Genomic DNA, 19149 nt, shown 5'->3' on the forward strand with positions numbered 1-19149 from the left:
TTCCAGATCACATATAGAGAGCTGTTTATTCTCTAAAGAGCTACACGGTGTTCCACTGTGTGGAATTTATTTTACCAGGCCCCTAATGATGTCCTTTGAGGGTATCTGTGCTTTTTTTATACTACGGCAATGCTTCAGAGGATATCCTTGAACTTACTTATTTGAGCACCCTTCTAAGTTTATCTGTAGGAGAAACTCCTAGAAGAAAGATTAGGGGGTCAAAGGGTATTTGCATTCTGTGAGCGAACACACCCTCCCTTCCAGAGAGGCTGTACCATAAAATCACTTTCCTTAAGGTCAACAAATACAATCAGGCTTTCATTGGATTTTCATTCTCCTTGTCTTCTTTGCATCCTCAGAGACTTCACCATAGACTCCTTTTGGAAATTCTCTTTAGTTTCTGTGGCTCTGCATAAAGGACAAGACATTCTTTATTGAATCATTCATTCATATGTTGACATGCATTTACTCACTCATTTCATAGTTAAGTGCTTGGAACTGGGGAGTCCACCAGGGGGCCCTCCCATCTTATTTATCAAGTAAAATATTGCCTAGTCGATCAGTATATGCCTGTCTCCATGTAACTGAAAACATTCATTGCCAAAACAGGAGAGTAAATATTCAGAGGTGAGGAAACTGAGGCATAGGGAAATTAAATGGCTTGATAGAGTTGCAAGGCACACGTGTACATGGCCTCAGGGGAGACTTCTGTGGAAAGGCATGGCTTCCTGGAAGAGGGAACGCCCTTACCCTCCTGGTTTTCTGCAGGTGTGAGGACCATAAAGAAACCTATTCACCTGGTGTGTCCTTGCAGCTGCCAGTCCTGATCTCCACCTGTCCCAAGCTGCTCAGAACGTGGCAGCGCCATCCAGGAGCCACGAGCATGGGCCAGTGGCCAGGGAGGCTGGATCTGTCTGCCAAGTTTCCACTTTTCCATCTTAGCAGCTTCTCCGAAGCTCTGTGGAGACTCTCCCCACTCCCACCCCTTGGCAGTGGGACGTCACCATCGGAGCCGGCCGGTCGCTACCCTTGGGAACAGAATTCAAAGTTTGCAATACCAATCTCTGCCCTTGTGGGATGACTGGGCAGCCCGACCCAAAATAGCTGGGAAAGGCGGGATGTTAGGGCCGCGGTGGGAAAACTCACAGTGCTGCTAATGACATGCTGTGCTTATCTGGAACCGAGTGTCTTGCAGACTTTAACTGAGATCACATTGCTTTTTCCAGCAATAAGTAAACAGACCCAGCGAGTGGTGGTGACAGGCCCAGGGAGAGAGAAAGAATTACCAAATCAGGGAGGGCACAGAACGTGCTGCCTTCCCTGCCAGGGGTTCCAGGAAATATTTCTTCCCATTCTAGGATCTACCCTTGACTAAGAATATGGGATGATTTGGGAATATTCAGGAAGCCTTTAGGGGTTTTGACCCAGACACCTTGTGTAGATGTGAGCTCCTAGGGAGTTTTAGGATGGGTTTGTGGGGGCTAAGAGAGAGACCTTGGGGAGGGGACTCAGTCTTTCTGGAAGTTGGCTTTGACTTCTGACCCATAATCTCAGGGCTGATGAAATCCCCCAGGCACTGTGGCTGATTTTTATTTTTGATTTCTGTTGTTGTTGCCCAACAGGAAAGGATTTTGCCAAAGGGAAAACACTCTGCCTCTTGTTGCTTGGGGGCACCTAAGGCTGAGAAGGAAGAAAATCAGCCACTCTGCAAGGACATCCCTTGCTTGCCAAAGTTTCCATCTTTCCTACTTAAAATTACAAAGCAGAAGTGAAGTTGATGACAAAGAGCATTAGGAACCTGGCATGCTCTCTATTTTGGATTTTTTTTTTCACTTTATTGAGGACAAGCTTGTATTCTCTGGGAGCTGGCCTTGTGAGTCTTTGCCCATTGCCTGCTGCCTTGAGTTGTGAGCCATGATGGTGGCACCTAAGACATGTGCTCAGACCTCAACTCCTATTCTTTGGAAGTTCCCATGCCTCCGAGCCTTGGGTCTCACACAAGATCTTGGGAAACCCCAGGCTCTCTTTGTTACCGTTTGATACCACTCCTCCCTATCCCCAGTTTCTGCCTCAAGGAAAATGAGTAATCCCTTTTCTAATCTCCTCCTTCCCTCCTCTTCCCAAGAGGATGGAAGGAAGATTATACTTGTAATAATGGTAGTTGCAATGAACAATGTGTCTGTTCCACCAACCTTTTTATTAATCATGTGAGAAGCTACAGGTTCACAATCACTTCTCCAAAATCCCTGAAATGCAAAAAATCTGAAACCTTAGTTTTTCCCTAAAGTTGGCACACACAAATTTGACAGAACAATGTGGCTTGAACTATCCTGAGACTATGGATGCCTTCATCCCACTGCCGAATATTCAAGTGTTTAACGAAGGGGCGCTGCCCGAAGCCCACTGGGTAAGATGCTTTGTGGGATATTTGCATCTGACTCTGAACATATCTGACCTCCTTGGTTCCAGATAAGAGACCCTGGACCTATCTCTGCTTTGTAGATAAGGAAGCTAAGGCCCACTGAAGTTTGGTAGCATCCCCAGGCTGCCTCAAGGTAGGACAGAGCCGGGACAAGACCTCCTAGTAGGATGAGCCAGGTGCACCTGGAAGAGATGACCAGCCTTCAGCTGTCTTTCTAGAACTTTGCACTATATTGGGCCTCTGAGTTCTGTCTTGGAATTGTGTTAAAGATAACTGTTTTCCAGTTCTTCAACACCAAAGCCATCTTGGATGGGGTAAAGAGAAAGAATAAATATTCCATCATCCACAACTTTTTTTTTTTTTTTTGAGATGGGGGTCTTGCTCTGTTGCCCAGGCTGGAATGCAATGCCATGATTAGGGCTCACTGCAGCCTTGACCTCCTGGGCTCAAGGGATCCTCTCACCTCAGCCTCCTGAGTAGCTGGGATTACAGGTGTGTGCTGCCAAGCCCAGCTAATTGTTTTATATTTTGTAGAGACAAGGTCTCACTATGTTGCCCAGGCTGGTTTTAAACTCCTGGGCTCAAGTGATCCTCCCGCCTCAGCCTCCCAAAGTGCTGGGATTAAAGGTGTGAGCCACCACACCCAGCCCATCATCTGCATCTCTTTCTCTTTCAAGCTGTGTGTCCCGCTTTGTGAATTCTGGTATCTGCCCACGACTTTCCTGAGTCTGAGGCTCCCAGGCAGGGCAACAAGAAGCCTTCTCATTGCACTGAGGGATTTCCTAGCTCGTAAGAGTTCTAGAAAGTCCCAGATTCTCTGAAGTATGGACGAAGGTCTCATAAGGGCTGCAAAAAATGCTGTTGTTTTCTCTGGTATCCCTGCACCAAGGGCTATTTGAGGACAGAGTAACTAAGGAAAGGTCAGTCCGTGTGCTAAGCCTTGCTCCTGGTGACTGGGAAACTTCCTCATGTCACTTACAGGAATGGAGACAAGCTTATCTCTGGCTTTTCCTGTATCAATAAGCAACCAGGGATGTAGGTTTTGCCAAGCCTCAGACACGTATGCCAAGAACACAAGCAACCCCTGATCTTCTAAGCCTAGCGGAGGCTGCATCTCTAGTTGGTTAAGTAGTGTTGACTTCATATCCCCATCGTGTCCTCTGAGTTCCCCCTGGGTGCTGGAGGCCTGGCAGCCTTTCTCCCTGTACTCACAGGAGGGGTTGACGCATGCAGTCAGGGCCTCTGTGGAGTGGCTTTTGGGCGCCTCGCCTGCCCGGAAGCCTCCCCTTCTGTTCTCATCTCCATTTGTCCTCAGCTCTACCTGAGTGCTGGCCTCGCCCAGCCTGGGGCAAGGCAGTGGGCATTGTGCTTGCACCCTCTTCTTCCTCTCCTTTTTGATTCTTTTCATCTGTCCAGTTGTTGGTGCGGCGGATGGGAGGACACTCCAGGCAGGGAAAGGTGAGGCCTCTTAGTTTTGCTCTGAATGTCCCAACCAGCATCCCCATTTTCGCATCTCCTGTTTGTCCAGAGACAGACCCTCACAGGAGGGATAACAAAACAAAAAAATCCAGCTGCAACATCGAGGTGAGGGGCAGCTCGGAGAGAACAGGGCAGAGGGGGGAAAAAAGAAGCAAAAAAAGGGGGAATGCTGTTATCATCAGAGCTGGCTTCTGCTTCTCTGGCCAAATCCTTCCCCTGCTAGTGATATGGTAAGTTTCCAGAGCAAGCTGGGCTGACGCAGAGTCTAGGGATGGAGACTGGGTCCCAACCAGGGCCGGCTCTGGAGCAGCCTGGATCAGGGATCAGGATGGGAGGGCAGCCTACGGGCCTTGTTCAGAAAAAATATTTGTGTATGACTGAGAAAATGTCAGGTTTTCATATCAAGGAATGAGAGGCCTGATAGAGACTGAGGAGTGCTTCCAGCCATCCTGGGCTCACCACTGTACTCGTGCTGTTCTCTAGAAAATGGAAATCTTCCCGGCAGGGGCTCCTTCCTAACCTTTAGATCACAGAGCTCTCAAGACTCTGAACAAAACAGTGGACCATCACCTTCCAAAGGTGATGCGCGCGCGCGCACACACACACACACACACACACACACACACACAGTTTGGCATTTTGTTATAGGGGGTTCACAGATTCCCCCAAACCTGTCTGAGTCCCCGATAATGCACAGGGCGTCTCAGGTCTGCCACTGTTTGGAGACCTGACCCCTCAGGGTTGGCCACAGCGGATCCCGGAGGCCTTGGGGCTCATCCCTCTGCTACCAAGTGACTAGGAGCGCTCAGCCTTGCTGGGCACCCCCATCCTGCGGGGGGCATTCTCGTCCGGGGCTCGCAGCCCCTCCGCCTCTGGACGGACCTCCAGACTCACGGAATCTGCCCCACCCCCACTCTCAGCCTGGCGGGCTCCCCAGGGGGCCGGGAGGAGGCGGCCGCTGGATTTCCCTGAGGCGCGGCGCGGGGCACACACGGTTAATCCTCCGCGGCTGCTGTTTGGACGAAAAGCGCTGGGGGTGTTGGAGGCTCCTCGCTGCTCACATCTGGCTGGGCTTCGCTCCTTGCGCGTCTGTCCCACTTTCTCCCTCTCTTCCTTTACTTTCGAGAAACCGCGCTTCCGCTTCTGGTCGCAGAGACCTCGGAGACCGCGCCGGGGAGACGGAGGTGCTGTGGGTGGGGGGGACCTGTGGCTGCTCGTACCGCCCCCCACCCTCCTCTTCTGCACTGCCGTCCTCCGGAAGACCTTTTCCCCTGCTCTGTTTCCTTCACCGAGTCTGTGCATCGCCCCGGACCTGGCCGGGAGGAGGCTTGGCCGGCGGGAGATGCTCTAGGGGCGGCGCGGGAGGAGCGGCCGGCGGGACGGAGGTAGGTGGCCGGGCCGGGGGACCCAGCGCTGCCCCGCCCCATCCTCGTGGCTTCAGCCTGGTGGCCAGGGCGGGGATGGCAGACACCTGGGCCGGGACGGACGGAGAGCGCCGTGGGAGGGGCCGGTTGGCGGTGGCGGCGCAGGGGCGGAAAGACCCGGGTTTTCGGGGGCAGCCCTGGCGTCTGGCTCTGGCTCAGCCCCCGCCATAGGCGCCTTTGCGCGGGGGTCATAATGGTCCCGGGTCTCCCTGACTGTGGAGGAGCGGGGCTTTTCTGCACGTGGATACTAACGGGAGGAATTGCACCTTCCCCCTAGTTTTTTGTGGGGTGTTTATCTTGTTTCACTGTTCTCTGGTGCCTTTCTGAGGGTGTGGAAGGAAGAGGAATGGTACTAATGCCCGCGGCTGCACCTGGCGGGGATGCCCTCACCCCACTCCTTATCACTGGGACCACCTGACCGCCGGGTCTGTCCAGTCCTGTCTGTGGCCAACCTGGACCTTCACGGAATAGGAAGCGCTGACTTTGGCCCCCCGCATCTGACAGCCTTGGTGTCCTGGAGGGGGTCCAGCTTGGGCAGGAAAAAACGGTGTTGCTTCCCCGGGGCCCTCCTGGGAAGCGAAGCTGCCTGTGCCGCTGGGAGTGGCCCCCCCGGCCTGGGGCTGGAGCCTCTGAGCCGCCCTGGGGCTTCTGGACCTCGCAGGTGGACCCACCGCCCACCACCCAGCCCTCCATGGCTTCTCCACCGGTGCAGGTGTGGTCCCCACTGTTAGCCCGGGCCTCGCGGGGCCAATACCCGGGCCACACTCTTCCAGCCCCAGAAAGCCAGATTATCTTCTCTGGACCCTCCGCGTGCTTCAGGCACCCTTGGGCCGACTCATCCCTGCTTGGGAGGGAGGGAGGAAGCCGCCCCCCTCTGTGAGGTGTTCCTGACTCTTCTACCCCACCTAGTTTCTAGGAAAGGAGGCAACATGACGTGCTGGGAGCTTTCTGGTCCTGAGCTTTGAACATGAGAAATGCCGTGAGAAACTGTTTTCTCCACCGCTGGCCACTTCACAGCCCCAGGGGAGCATGTGATGTCCTTACAGGCTGCCCGGCCTCTGCTTTTTATAGTGCAGGAAAGTACACACTCCCTGGCAGGCCGTGCAGCCATGAACAGCCACAGATAGACGCACTTGGCTGTGGTGTGTGCTGCAGGGAGCGGGAGGACATGGGAGGACGTGCTCCAGGAGGCCTCTCCAGCACCTGCCAACCGGGGAGGAGGGAACCAAGACAGGGAGATGGGAGCCGAGGTCTGAGGACAAGCAGAAGCTTCCCCACCCTCCCTCTTAGAGCTGCAGAGCTGGAGAGGCCCCTAGAGTCCACCCAACAACAACAGTGGCAATCATCATCACCATCATCATCATCATCACCATCATCATCATCATCATGATGTCAGCCACAGGTTTGTGTGTCTGCTTCTCACATGGCAGGCGCTCAACATTATATTAATAATTATAATAATTATTATAATAGTTAATTCTCAACACTTCTATCAAGGGAACTCTCACTTGTGGAAAGAGCAGAGCTGCAAAGCTCAAGAGGCTCACGGCTTGCTTGAGGTCTCAGAGACAGGGATGGAGGACTCAAGACTCCAATCTGTGTCTTTATCCCAAGTGCGTCATATGCTTCTTTTTTTTTTTGAGACAGAGTTTCGCTTTTGTCATCCAGGCTGGAGTGCAAGGCCAAATCTCGGCTCACTGCAACCTCCACCTCCCAGGTTCAAGCGATTCTCCTGCCTCAGCCTCCCAAGTAGCTGGATTAGAGGTGTGTACCACCACGCCTGGCTAATTTTGTATTTTTAGTAGAGACTGGGTTTCACCCTGTTGGTCAGGCTGGTCTCAAACTCTTGACCTCAAGTGATCCACCCGCTTCAACCTTCCAAAGTGCTGGGATTACAGGGGTGAGCCACCGCGCCTGGCCTCCGGGGCGTATACTTTTAACCTTCCTATCTGGTGTTGGGAACATGGCACTCAGCTCGCCAAGCTGATGCTGGGAACTTCTCTCTCCCAGCTGCTAACAGAGAATGCCCAGGGGCAGGAAGGACACAGGTCCGCTACCCAGGGACTCTCTACTTCTCCTCCCGCCTCCCTCTCCTCCTCTTGTGTTGCCAAGGGTGGTGTCCCCAGTGAGCTCATTCAGGGAGGCAGGAAGCATGGTGCAGGAAGCCCTAGGTGGGCGCTGTGCGGCTACAGGACACCACTGCCCCTCCCAGGCAGGTGCAGCCAGCTGGCGAGGGACGTCCTCCCAAGTAGGAGCAGAGAAAGCCCAAGCTGTCCCAGGAAGGCCATGGGTTCCCTCCTTGTTCCTAGGAAGTGACCCCCCTTTTCAGGGCAACCAGGACAACAGAGTGTTTTTGGAACATGCTCCTTTCTGTTCTTCTTCCTGGTGCCTCCCCCCAGCTGTAATTAGCATGACTCATAAACCAAATATTCTGGCATTGAACTTTGCTCATCAAAACAAAGATGAAAAGAATTTCATAGATACAGTTGTGCGCAGGGACTGGAGCTTCCCATTTGTGTCTTGTCCTCAGGGGTCCCTGTTCCTGGGCGGGGGGGGGCTGTGGCTGAGGCTCCAGAACCTTAGGGAAGGGGTGGGGGTGACGGACACCAGGAAGGGCAGGAAGAAGTAGCAGGTTACACCATCCCCTGGACGATCCCACCTCTGCCTGACAATCAGTAGCCTCTAGAGATGTTCAAGTGGGGGCACTCCCTCATGGGCCACAGGTTGCCATTTCCCCTGTTAACCTGCTGAAATTGGCCTGCTGGTGTCAAATGGCACAAGGCAGCTCTCTGGACAGGACCCTGCCATCTCCCTGACCCCTTCATACAGGGCAAGAACTCACCTGCCCACTTTAGAGAGCAGTCTGGAAGAAACAGCGACGTCAGCTCAGCTCAACAATGTGTTTCCTTCAGGCTCTCTTGGGGCAGCCCAGCAAGCCGCTCTCATGAGCCAGGGATCCTTGGGGCCCTGTCCTGGGGTCTATGCTGGGGTCCTTGGCCTGGAAGGGCCAGTCCTGAGCTTAAGCAGGGACATGCAGGAGCAGGACATGCTCACTCCTTTCCTCCTTCCCGAGCCCCGCAGTGAGATGCTCCAACTGCTGCCGCTGCAGCCTCTAGTTCTCTGGGAGAGGCATGCGGTGTGAGCAGGAAGGGAGGGGCTTCGGAGCCATGTGGGAAGGATCTTTATCTCTGGGTCCTTGTCAAGGTCACGGCTGTGTGACACTTGTGCTGGGGTGATATGAGTGGCTCTTGGCAAATCAGCACCCCTCCAGCTGCCTGTTCTTGCCTACATTTGATTTCCAGAGCTGGGCTTGGCATCTGAATGTGGTTCAAAGGGGGATGGTCTCCAGCAGGGGCACGGGGACCCCCACAGTCCCCACTGTACACCAGGGCACTGCTATCTTGCCTCTGAGGCCCCCTGGATCTAAGCCGTTCTCCAGCTTCAGATGGGGCTGGCACAGACTGCAGGCCCCTCCCCGGGCCCCCATCCTGTCCAGGACGGCCGTCGGGACGGCTGTGGCCGGGCCGGTGTCTGCCCATCTCCCTGGCTCCTGTAGGAATTTTCCTTGACACGAGACAGAGTAGAGCAGGAGACGGCAGGCAGGGAGGCAGGAGTCGAGGGGAGGAGGAGAAGAGGCAGACAGGCAGGCGGGGCATGGGGAAGTCAAGTTCTTGGTGCCCTGTGCTGGGTCAAATGTTGTTCTTGGCCACGGCTAAAGCCACACTTGGTGGAATGCCCCAAACCCTATGCTTTGGGTTGTACCCATCCCCCTCAGCAAGACATCTGGATAACAGCCACCCTCTGCCCTGGGGAGCAGGGAAGCTGCTGGGAAAGCTGCCAGCCCTGGGTGGGTTCGAGGCAGATGTAGGTCAGAAGGCGGGCAGGGCCCCCTGACTCTGCCCACAGGTTCCTGGGGCCAGTCTTCAGAGCTGGGGACAGAGGTGTGTTCAGAAAACGCTTAGACCCATTCTCCTTGTAAAGAATCTAAAGTGAGAGATGGAAGGATCTGGGTGGGTTAGGGGGTGACCACAGGTCTCTTGCGTCCTCTGGCATTCAGGGGAGCCCCCTCCTCCATGAAAGGATATCAATGAGGGCAAGGCCCATGGTCCTGAGGGTCCTCCCCGTGTGGTGCGTGAACTTAGATTCCTTTGCAACTCAGAGCTCAGGTCTGCTTGTGCCCATTAGAGGGCACTGGTCGGGAGAGAAAAATCATCTGTACCCCAGCACATGGGTCTTTTCCTCCCTTCTTCAGAGCTTGCCAGCATGCTGGTGTCTCTTCACCCTACAAAAGCAGTGCCCTAAAAATGCACATCCGATGGGCCACACTGCCCAAGCCCCTCACATTTTAAGGTGTGTGTGTGTGTGTGTGTGTGTGTGTGCATGCACGCGCGGGTGTTCCTGGTGATCCTGTGCCTAAATCCAAAGGAATTAAACTCCGGTGGTGTATTTTAAGATGCTAGCAGGCTGGCACCAGGGATATCTTAGCACATTGCATCAAGGAAGATGGTTACAGGTTTCCCTGGTACCCCATACCATACCTGGCATGTAGTGGGCACTCGGTAATCCTCTGTTGAATGATGAATGCAAGGGCTCAGCTGCTGGATACAGTCCTCGAAGCCAAAGGCTGCTGCAGCGGTTCCACCTATAAACAAGTAAGCAAATTGGTGGGCACCGTAACCCTGAGCCCAGTGGGCGGGAACGGTCGCTGCACCATGGCTTGGGAGGAGGAGGAGCCTATGCTCTCTGGCATCTTTCTGGCCACCCCTCGGGGTGAAGTGTAATGTGCTTTGCTGTCGGACACACCTAGGTCTAATCTGAGCTCCAGCACCTCCCCACTGTGGAACCTGGGGCAAGCGGCTCCATCGCTCTGAGGCTGTTTGCGCATTCTAAGGATCAGGTATTCTAAGGATTAGGCATTCTAAGGATCAAGCTTTCTAAGGATCAAGCTCAGTGGTGTAGGGAAGGCACCATGGCCAGAGTCTGGCTCTCAGTGGTGGCTTTTCAGGGGTAGCGGGGCTTTGTCAGAAGGAATCTCTGATAAACATTGGGCTACTCCTGGGTCCAGGAACATGCTGGCCATTGCACATCACGCACAGGATGGGCTGCAGGACGGGGCTCCGTTTCCTTCTGTTTCACGGCTGCAGGCCACCGGCCCTACTCAGGCAGCCTCCTTCAACAGCAAGGGCCAAAGACGAACAAAGCCCCTCACTGCTAGGAAACGGGTTCTCTCTGGCTCGCCTAATTCCAGCCTGGATGAAGTGCCACCCTGCTGGGCTCCCTACCACCTGTGCTGTTCCTGGTCCTAACACATCCCATACCATAGCTGCCAGGGACTCTACTGCCCAAGGGAAAGGGCATCTTGTTCCGTTCGTCCCAAGAATCCAGCTCCCTGCTGGGTAGGTAGTAGACACTCAATAAACACCTGTTGAACAAATGAGCAAAAGAGCGTGAGACTTCAGCACTAGGTCAACTTGTATTCCCCGTGGTTCCGCTTGAGCCTCAAACGATGCAATATAACAAGCTCTCTTTTCTCCCCATCCTACTCTTCTATGCATCTAGTCGAGTTTCCTGGAATAAACAAAATGCTCCCTTAGTCCCCAGGGTGGGGCTTATTTGTCATTTTTCTAGTGGAAAATAATGTGTACTTACTGTGAAAAAGGACGTGACTGTTACAGGGGAAAGAAACAGAGAGGCCAAAATAAGAAAATGGTAAGCATCTGTATTTTCATCACCGCAGATAATTGCTGTTGGCAGCCTGGTGGGTGGCCTTTGGGTCTTTGTGGTTTTGTGTGTGTGTGTGTGTGTGTGTGTGTATGTGTATGTGTGTGCCTGTATGTGCGTGTGTTTGGGTCTGCATGTTTTCATTCTGCATTTTCAAAACTCATTACTGCTTTACAAACTTTCTCTCTCTTTCTTCTTTCTTTCTTTTCTTTCTTTCTTTCTTTCTTTCTTTTTCTTTCTTTCTTTCTTTCTTTCTTTCTTTCTTTCTTTCTTTCTTCTTTCTTTCTTTTTCTTTCTTTCCTCTCTTTCTCTCTCTCTTTTCCTTCCTTCCTTTCTTTTTCTTTTCTTTTCTTTTTCTTTTTTGAGACAGAGTCTTGCTATGTTGTCCGGGCTGGAGGGCAGTGGCGTGATCTCAGCTCACTGCAATCTCCATCTCCTGGGTTCAAGCGATTCTCCTGCCTCAGCCTTCCGACTAGCTGGGATTTTAGGCACACGCCACCACACCCAGCTAATTTTTGTACTTTTTAGTAGAGACGGGGTTTTACCATGTTGGTCAGGATGATATTGAACTCCTGACCTCAAGCGATCCGCCTGCCTCGGCCTCCCAGAGTGCTGGGATTACAGGCGTGAGCTACTGTGCCCGGCCCAAACATCTTTCCATGTCAGTAAATATTCACCTATTTACAGAGACGCCTAACTGGTGCTGCTGGCTGATTCTGCTCCCCAGTCCCTCCATATTATTTCTTTTCTTTTCTTTTTTTTTTTTTTTGAGATGGAGTCTTGCACTGTCGCCCAGGCTGGAGTGCAGTGGCATGATCTTGGCTCACTGCAAGCTCCACCTGACAGGTTCATGCCATTCTCCTGCCTCAGCCTCCCAAGTAGCTGGGACTACAGGTGTCTGCCACCACGCCCGGCTAATTTTTTGTATTTTTAGTAGAGACGGGGTTTCACCATGTTAGCCAGGATGGTCTCCATCTCCTGACCTCGTGATCTGCCTGCCTCGGCCTCCCAAAGTGATGGGATTACAGGCGTGAGCCACCGTGCCCAGCCCATATTATTTCTTTAAATGTCTTTAGAAAGAACGCGTTTACTGGTTTACCACAATCCCCATCCCTCCCTATTGCTGATTTCACCACTCTCATCAACCACCTTGTTTTTCTAGTTTCCATCATATGGATGGATGCACTGTAAATTTTTTGTTTTCTTTTTTTGAGATGGAGTTTCACTCTGTCACCCAGGCTGGAGTGCAGTGGTGCTATTTCACCTCACTGCATCCTCGCCTCCCAGGTTCAAGCAATTCTCCTGCCTCAGCCTCCCGAGTAGCTGGGATTACAGGCATGTGCCATGCCTGGCTAAATTTTGTATTTTTAGTAGAGACAAAGTTTCACCATGTCGGCCAGGCTGGTCTTGAACTCCTGACCTCAGGTGATCTGCCTGCCTCAGCCTCCCAAAGTGCTGGGATTACAGGCGTGAGCCACTGCACCCAGCCATGTATTTCATTAGACTGTCTTCCTGGACATGTAGGTGGTTTGTAACCTTGGTGAATGGAGGCAGTGGTTTCATCTCTTTGAAGCAATAGACTTTCTGAGTGCAGATAAGAGGAGCGTTTCTAGGGAAGATGGCTACATGGCCACACCAGGAGTCAGCACTCTGGTGACAGTGATGTACCTTGGATCTCTGTGTCCCCAGCTGGAATTAGAGAGAGATTTGGACAGGCTTGTGGCTGAGGCATGTCATCTTTGGACGATGGCTCTGTACTTGGGATTGATTGAAGGTGAGGAGAGCATTGGAGCCCTGTTGAGAGTTAGACACCGGATGCTGGTGATGCCTGAGAAATGAGATGGGGCTCCCATTTCCCAGGGGCTTGGAGTCTTGGGGACAGGACGAGGAAACCAAGGACTGTAGACCGGTTCGTCCGGATGCTGGGGGAGGGGCACCTACAGCACACCCAGGTCTGGGCAACTTCCCGGAGGAGGTGGCCTCAGGCTGAGCTCTGGAGAATACACGGATGGAGAAGGTGGAGGAGAAACAGGCATCCAGACAGAGGAAAGAGCGGGTGCCAGAGGACGAGACCTCAAGTGTGATCTGTTAGGGACTGAGTAGCTCCAGGGAGCTGGACTGAAAGGGACTCACGCGGGGTGGGGAAGGGCCAGATGGAAACGCTCAGGGCTTACTCCCTCCTTTACTGGCATAGGAAGCCCTTGGAGCCAGGGGTGGCATTCAGATTTGCGTTTTTCAGAGCTGCCTCTGGAAGCAGCGTGGGAGACAGATGGGAGGCAGAAAACCAGCCAGGGCTGGGGAAGAAGTGATGGAGAGGAGAGGAGACCTGCAGGGGGCTGGCGATGGATGAGATGTGGCGGGTGCAAGGAAGGTGGCATCCAAGTGGCTTGCAGGCTTCTGGCCCGGGACCCCGCGTGATGGCATGCATAGCTTTCACCAAGCTGCAAGCCACAGGAGGAGAAGCTAATGTGGTAAGGACGGGGGAGAAGGATATGAGTTAATTGGGGGCTTAAAAGCCTTAGGGCAGAGCAGCCTGGTGCGGTGGCTCACACCTGTAATCCCAGCACTTTAGGAGGCCGAGGCGGGTGGATCGCTTTGAGGTTAGGAGTTCGAGACCAGCCTGACAAACATGGCAAAACCCCATCTCTACTAAAAATACAAAAATTAGCTGGGCGTGGTGGTGGGCACCTGTAATCCCAGCTACTTTGGAGGCTGAGGCAGGAGAATTGCTTGAACCCAGGAGGCGGAGGTTGCAGCGAGCCAAGATTGTACCATTGTACTCCTGCCTGGGTGACAAGAGCAAAACTCTGTCTCAAAAAAAAAAAAAAAAAAAAGTCTTAGCGCAGAGCAAAGAGGAGGTGTTCAGCAGATGATTGCATATGTGGGTCTAGACCAGCGCTGCCCAGCAGAACCTTCAGCTGTGGTGCAAGGTGCTAAGAGCTGTGCTGTCTAGTATGGCAGCTGCTAGTCACGTGAGCACTTAAAATGTGGCTCCTTGGCCGAGAACTGGATGTTTCATTTTGTTTAACTGACATAGCTCCATGTGGCTCGTAGCCACTGTACTGACTTAAACATTTGCAAGCCCAGGTCTCAGCAGCCAGGTCAGTGGTGGGGACATGGAATGGGGCATTGTCAGCTGAAGATGTGGTGTGGACCAGGACAGGCAGAAAGAGGTCAGGCACGGTGGCTTCACGCTGATAATCCTACCCGCTTTGGGAGGCCAAGGCTGGAGGATTGCTTGAGACCAGCCTGGGAAACATAGTGAGATCCTGTCTCTAAAAAAAAAAAATTTTTTTTTTTAATTAGCTGGATGTGGTGGCATGTGCTTGTAGTTCCAGCTACCCGGGAGGCTGAGATGGGAGGATCACTTGGGTCCAAGGGTTTGAAGCTGCAGTGAGCCATGACTGTACCACTGCACTCCAGCCTGGGTGACAGGAGACCCTGTCTCCTAAATAAATAAATAAATAAATGTAGAATTAGGAGCAAGAGGAGCTGAGAGCTGAGGAACAGCCTGGGAGAGCACCTGTCTTTGGGGGTTGATCAGGAAGGCTAAACACTGGGAGACAGTGTGGGCCAAACCCCATGGCTGAAGAAGAGGGCAGTCGACATTGGCAGATGCTTACAGTGCGCACGAAAGAGGAATGCAGAAGGGTGTTGGGTGCCACGAGGGTCGTGGGTGATCGTAGCCAAGCAGTCGGGGCGGGGCCAGCAGGAGGAGGGCCAGTGGGATGCTGTGCTGATTATATTCCTGACCTAGAAGCCCCAGGCTGGGGATAAAGCCCTGTCTTATGCCAGGCTTCCTCAGGAGCTGCCTGGAAAATGCTGGGGCTTGTCCAGGCCCCAGACAACCAAATACGTTTGTGCTGCTTGTAAAGGGCTGGGTGCGACGGGGCACCAGGCCATAGAATTCCCAGGTTCTTTCCTCCCTCTGTTTTGGGAGCGGTCGGTCCCCGAGGGCGTCCCCGCTGCTGGTGCTAGGGAAGTGGGCGGCGGGCCAGGCCACCTGCAGAGTGGGCTCAGGACAGCTGTTGGTGCCTCTTCTCTCTCACACGGTTCTCAAAGCAGGGGCAAGCCTGCCGCCCGAGGCCTTCCAGCTGGGAGGTGAGCTGAGGACAGCTGCTCTACTCAAGGAAATCTTTGTTTCCACTGGGACGGAATCGGAGCTCTGGAGGCTGGGCTGGCCAAGCGCCCCGAAGGCCCGATGCCTGACGGCTCATGCGGCCTCCTTGTTTGCAGGGCCTGGGCAAAAATTTACACTGAGTCCCACTCTTCGCTCCAGGTGAGTCCTTCCTGGTGAAGGTGCAGTTGCTCCAAGATGGGAGGGAGATGCTTTAGGATGGGAGAATTCTTGGCCTATCTTCGCTTCACTTTTTTGTCCCAAGCCAGACCTCATTCCCCTCCAGGGAAGAGGAAACCGTTGCTAATTAAGTAGCAAGTAACCCTGGAAGAGTCTGTATTCATCCCTGGACTTGGGCTTTGGAAGTAACCAAATAAACACCTAAGCCTTAAAAACAAACCCTCCTTCTGCAAGACAGAGGGCAGCTTTTTGGAAACAGGAGAGAGGGAGATTGAGAGAGGAGATAGGCTCCAGGACCCCAGCATCTCTCAGGAAAAGGGGCTGCTCGGCTCCATCTGGCGAGAATTCCTTCCATAAGGGACCCCCATCCACCACGAGGTTGAGGGAAAGAGGGAGAGTCTGAGACCAGTGGGGGCAGTGCAGTTAGAGCAGGGAATATTAGCTATTAAATGGGCTTCTAGAAGAGGTAAACACACATCACTCATCAAATGGGAGCCACTCTGCCCGCCTCCTGCCCATCACCGGAGGAGTTTGGTCATTGGGCAATTAGTGTGATGAATGAATGGCTTCTGGCAGGGAGGAAAGGGCTATGAGCAGATGTCACCTGTCAGAAGGACACCCCAACGTGGCACCTTCCTCTTTCTTGGCACCCCAGTACCTGAATCCTCTTGCAGCAACAGGAGAGCTCTAAGCTTCTCAACAGGAGAATTCTACCAGACGTCAGAGCCGAGGGGGAGTGGACTCAGGGCTTCTCTTCTGGTTGGGAGGATTCTGGGGATGTTCCAAAGGTGGCTGGAGGGGATGGCACGAAGGGGTGGTGATGGCTAAGGGGCCGTTGAGGCTGTGTAGAAACCAGGAGTGTTTGAGTTCTGGGCTGAATCGTATTTTTTTTTTTTTTTGAGACAGTCTCACTTTGTTGCACAGGTTGGAGTGCAGTGATGCGATCTCAGCTCACTGCAACCTCTGCCTCCTGGGTTCAAGCGATTCTCCTGTCTTAGCCTCCTGAGTAGCTGGGATTACAGACACACACCACTGCACCCAGCTAATTTTTGTATTTTTAGTAGAGACAGGGTTTTACCATGTTGGCCAGGCTGGCCTCGAGCTCTTGGCCTCAAGTGATCTGCCCACCTCAGCCTCCCAAAGTGCTGGGATTATAGGCGTGAGCCACCATACCTGGCCTGAATCCAATTCTTGAACTGGACACCACTAGATGTGGGATAAAGTCCTATCTTATGCCAAGTTTCCTTGGGAGATGAATGTAAACTGGGGGCGGGGGCAATGTCTAGACCCTGGAAAAGGCAGACGAAGATGCTTGTCTTGGGTGGACTGAGGTCTGGGGGACAGCGGAGCCCCTGGAGGGCATCTGATACAGGCACAGGGCAGGAGGGAGAGTTGACCTTTAGGATCTATTCAAGCAGGCTGGGGATGGATGAGATGCGGATGCATGAGAGGAAAGGGTCTAAACGCCTCTCAGATTTCTGGCCTGCTGTTTGTTCACAGTTACTCTTCCTCCTTGATGACTTCATTTTAATCTAGAACAGAGCTGTCCAACAAAACTTTCTGCAATGATTGAAATGTTCTATTCTATACTTTCCAACATGGTAACCACTAGCTACATGTGGCTTTTTATTTTTATGTTTTGAGAGAGGGTCTTGCCCTGTTGCCCAGGCTAGGGCGCAGTGGTGCAGTCGTGGCTCACTGCAGCCTCAACCCCCTGAGATCAACCAGTCCTCTTGCCTCAGCCTCCAGAGTAGCTGGGACTACAGGTGCACACTACCATGCCTGGCTAATCTTTGCATTTTTTGTAGAGATGGGGTCTCGATATATTGCCCGGGCTGGTCTTGAACTCCTGGGCTCAGGCGATCCTCCCACCTTGGCCTCCCAAGGTGCTGAGATTACAGACATGAACCACTGTGCCCAGCCTACATGTATTAATAGTTATTGAATGCTTGAAATGCGGCTAGTGTAGCTGAAGAACTGAATTTTGAATTTTCTTTCATTTTAATTAATTTAAATTTAAATAGCCACACATAACAGCCACTGTACCGGACAGCACAGTTCTAGAATGTTACCCACTTAGCATTTTAATTCAACATGTGTTGTTCTGTCTTGAGCTATAATTGGGTACGTGTCTGTTTCCTTCACTAGCCTGTTATATTCTTGAGGTCAGGGAATAGATTTAATTCCTGGTTGAATCACTTCCTCCCAAGCTCTTGCACAATGCCATGCAAATCATGGGCATTCAGTAAACCCAGCCTGTGTTAGATGGTCAGCTGAGAGGGCAGCTTGGACATGTCTGCCAAGGCTCCTTCCAATTCAAGGAGATTATAGGCTTCTTGCCTCTCAGAACAGCTGCTCACCTGATGAGGATTAAAGAAAAAGGAAAACAGTGTTTACAGAATGCTTTTGTCAAAAGGCCCTGCGCTGGGTGGAGCATAAGGACAAAACCCAGGCACATAGTCCCAGAGCTTCAGAGGTCCGCTGTCAGCACACAAGCATGAGAGCACGGAGGTGAAACAAAAATATAACAGGACCCACTTATTTGTTTATTTATTCACCATGCCCAGCTATTTTTTTGTTTTTGTTTTTGTTTTTTTGAGATGGAGTCTCGCTCTGTCGCCAGGCTGGAGTGCAGTGGCATGATCTCGGCTTAGCACAACCTCCGACTCCCTGGTTCAAGCGATTCTCCTGCCTCAGCCTCCCAAGTAGCTGGGATTACAGGCACGTGCCACCACGCCCAGCTAATTTTTGTATTTTTAGTAGAGCCAGGGTTTCACCATGTTGGCTAGGATGGTCTCCAATCTCCCGACCTCGTGATCCACCCGCCTCGGCCTCCCAAAGTGCTGGGATTACAGGTGTGAGCCACTGTGCCCGGCCAATTTTGGTATTTTTACTAGAGACAGGGATTTGCCATGTTGGCCAGGCTGGTCTCGAACCCCTGACTTCAAGTGATCCACCCTCCTCGGCCTCCTAAAGTGCTGGGATTACAGGCGTGAGCCACTGCGCCCAGCCAAAAGGCCCAATTTGAAACAAATATAAGGAATGGTGAACTTGCATGTGACTACTCTCTCCTTAAAGGACCTACCACAGAGCTAAGAGGCCTGTGGAGGGATAAAAATTATTATTATTATTATTACCACAGGGTCTCACTCTGTCACCCAGGCTAGAGTGCAGTGGTGCGATCATGGCTTACTGCAGCCTTGACTTCCTGGACTCAGGTGATCCTCCTACCTCAGTCTCTTGAGCAGCTGCTGGGACTACAGGCGAACACCACCATGCCTGGCTAATTTTTGTGTTTTTGGTAGAGATGGGGCTTCACCATGTTGTCCAGGATGGTCTTGAATTCCTAGGCTCAAGCAATCTACCCACCTTGGCCTCCCAAAGTGCTGGGATGACAGGTGTGAGCCACCACAAGCAAACAAGGGATACAATTTTTTTCTTTTTCTTTTTTTTTTTGAGACGGAGTCTCACTCTGTTGCTCAGGCTGGAGTGCAGTGGCGCGATCTTGGCTCACCACAACCTCTGCCTCCTGAGTTCAAGCAATTCTCCTGCCTCAGCCTCCCGAGTAGCTGGGACTACAGGTGCACCCCACCACGCCCAGCTAATTTTTGTATTTTTAGTAGAGATGGGGTTTCACCATGTTGGCCAGGCTGGTCTTGAACTCCTGACCTCAGGTGATCCACCTGCCTTGGCCTCCCAAAGTGTTGGGATTACAGGCGTGAGCCACCGCGCCCGGCCGGGATACAAATTATTCACAAGGATGTGTCCTCAGGCTTCCTGTCCTCCTCTACGTCCTGCGTGTAGCC

The 19149-nt window shown here is 52.6% G+C and overlaps 1 protein-coding gene and 1 long non-coding RNA gene across 13 annotated transcripts in view, besides 1 other annotated feature; one reads left to right on the plus strand and one right to left on the minus strand.

Annotated features, from left to right (window-relative positions):
• On the minus strand, window positions 1-8447 carry C1QTNF1-AS1 (C1QTNF1 antisense RNA 1). 2 transcript variants are annotated; one of them, NR_040019.1, is made up of 3 exons: window positions 8168-8447; window positions 798-1028; window positions 1-408 (listed from the first exon to the last, which is right to left on the minus strand). It is a non-coding gene; the product is annotated as a C1QTNF1 antisense RNA 1 (long non-coding RNA). The 2 variants fall into 2 exon arrangements; NR_040018.1 differs by having other exon boundaries at window positions 751-1028.
• The window catches only part of C1QTNF1 (C1q and TNF related 1), a 26855-nt gene continuing 11431 nt past the window's right edge, over window positions 3726-19149 (plus strand). For 2 of the 11 annotated variants that reach the window (NM_030968.5, NM_198594.4), the window contains exon 1: window positions 4961-5286. Coding sequence is in view for 4 of the 11 variants with exons in the window: in XM_006721664.2 (XP_006721727.1) it covers window positions 6017-6037; window positions 6616-6727 (133 nt within the window). In the remaining 7 variants the exon portion in view is untranslated. Of the gene's footprint in view, window positions 3881-4960; window positions 5287-5653; window positions 6038-6234; window positions 6728-15090; window positions 15326-19149 lie in introns of those variants that run through there. The other 9 variants (XM_047435297.1, XM_047435296.1, XM_006721664.2 and 6 more) reach the window with 9 other exon arrangements.
• Window positions 5293-5382: a silencer, noted in NCBI's record as "silent region_9078". NCBI's record gives its function as "represses an Ori minimal core promoter by ATAC-STARR-seq in GM12878 lymphoblastoid cells {active_cell/tissue: GM12878}" and the evidence as "EXISTENCE:reporter gene assay evidence [ECO:0000049][PMID:35858748]".

Source organism: Homo sapiens, chromosome 17 (genome assembly GCF_000001405.40).
Source record: "Homo sapiens chromosome 17, GRCh38.p14 Primary Assembly".
Classification (NCBI taxonomy): Eukaryota; Metazoa; Chordata; class Mammalia; order Primates; family Hominidae; genus Homo; species Homo sapiens.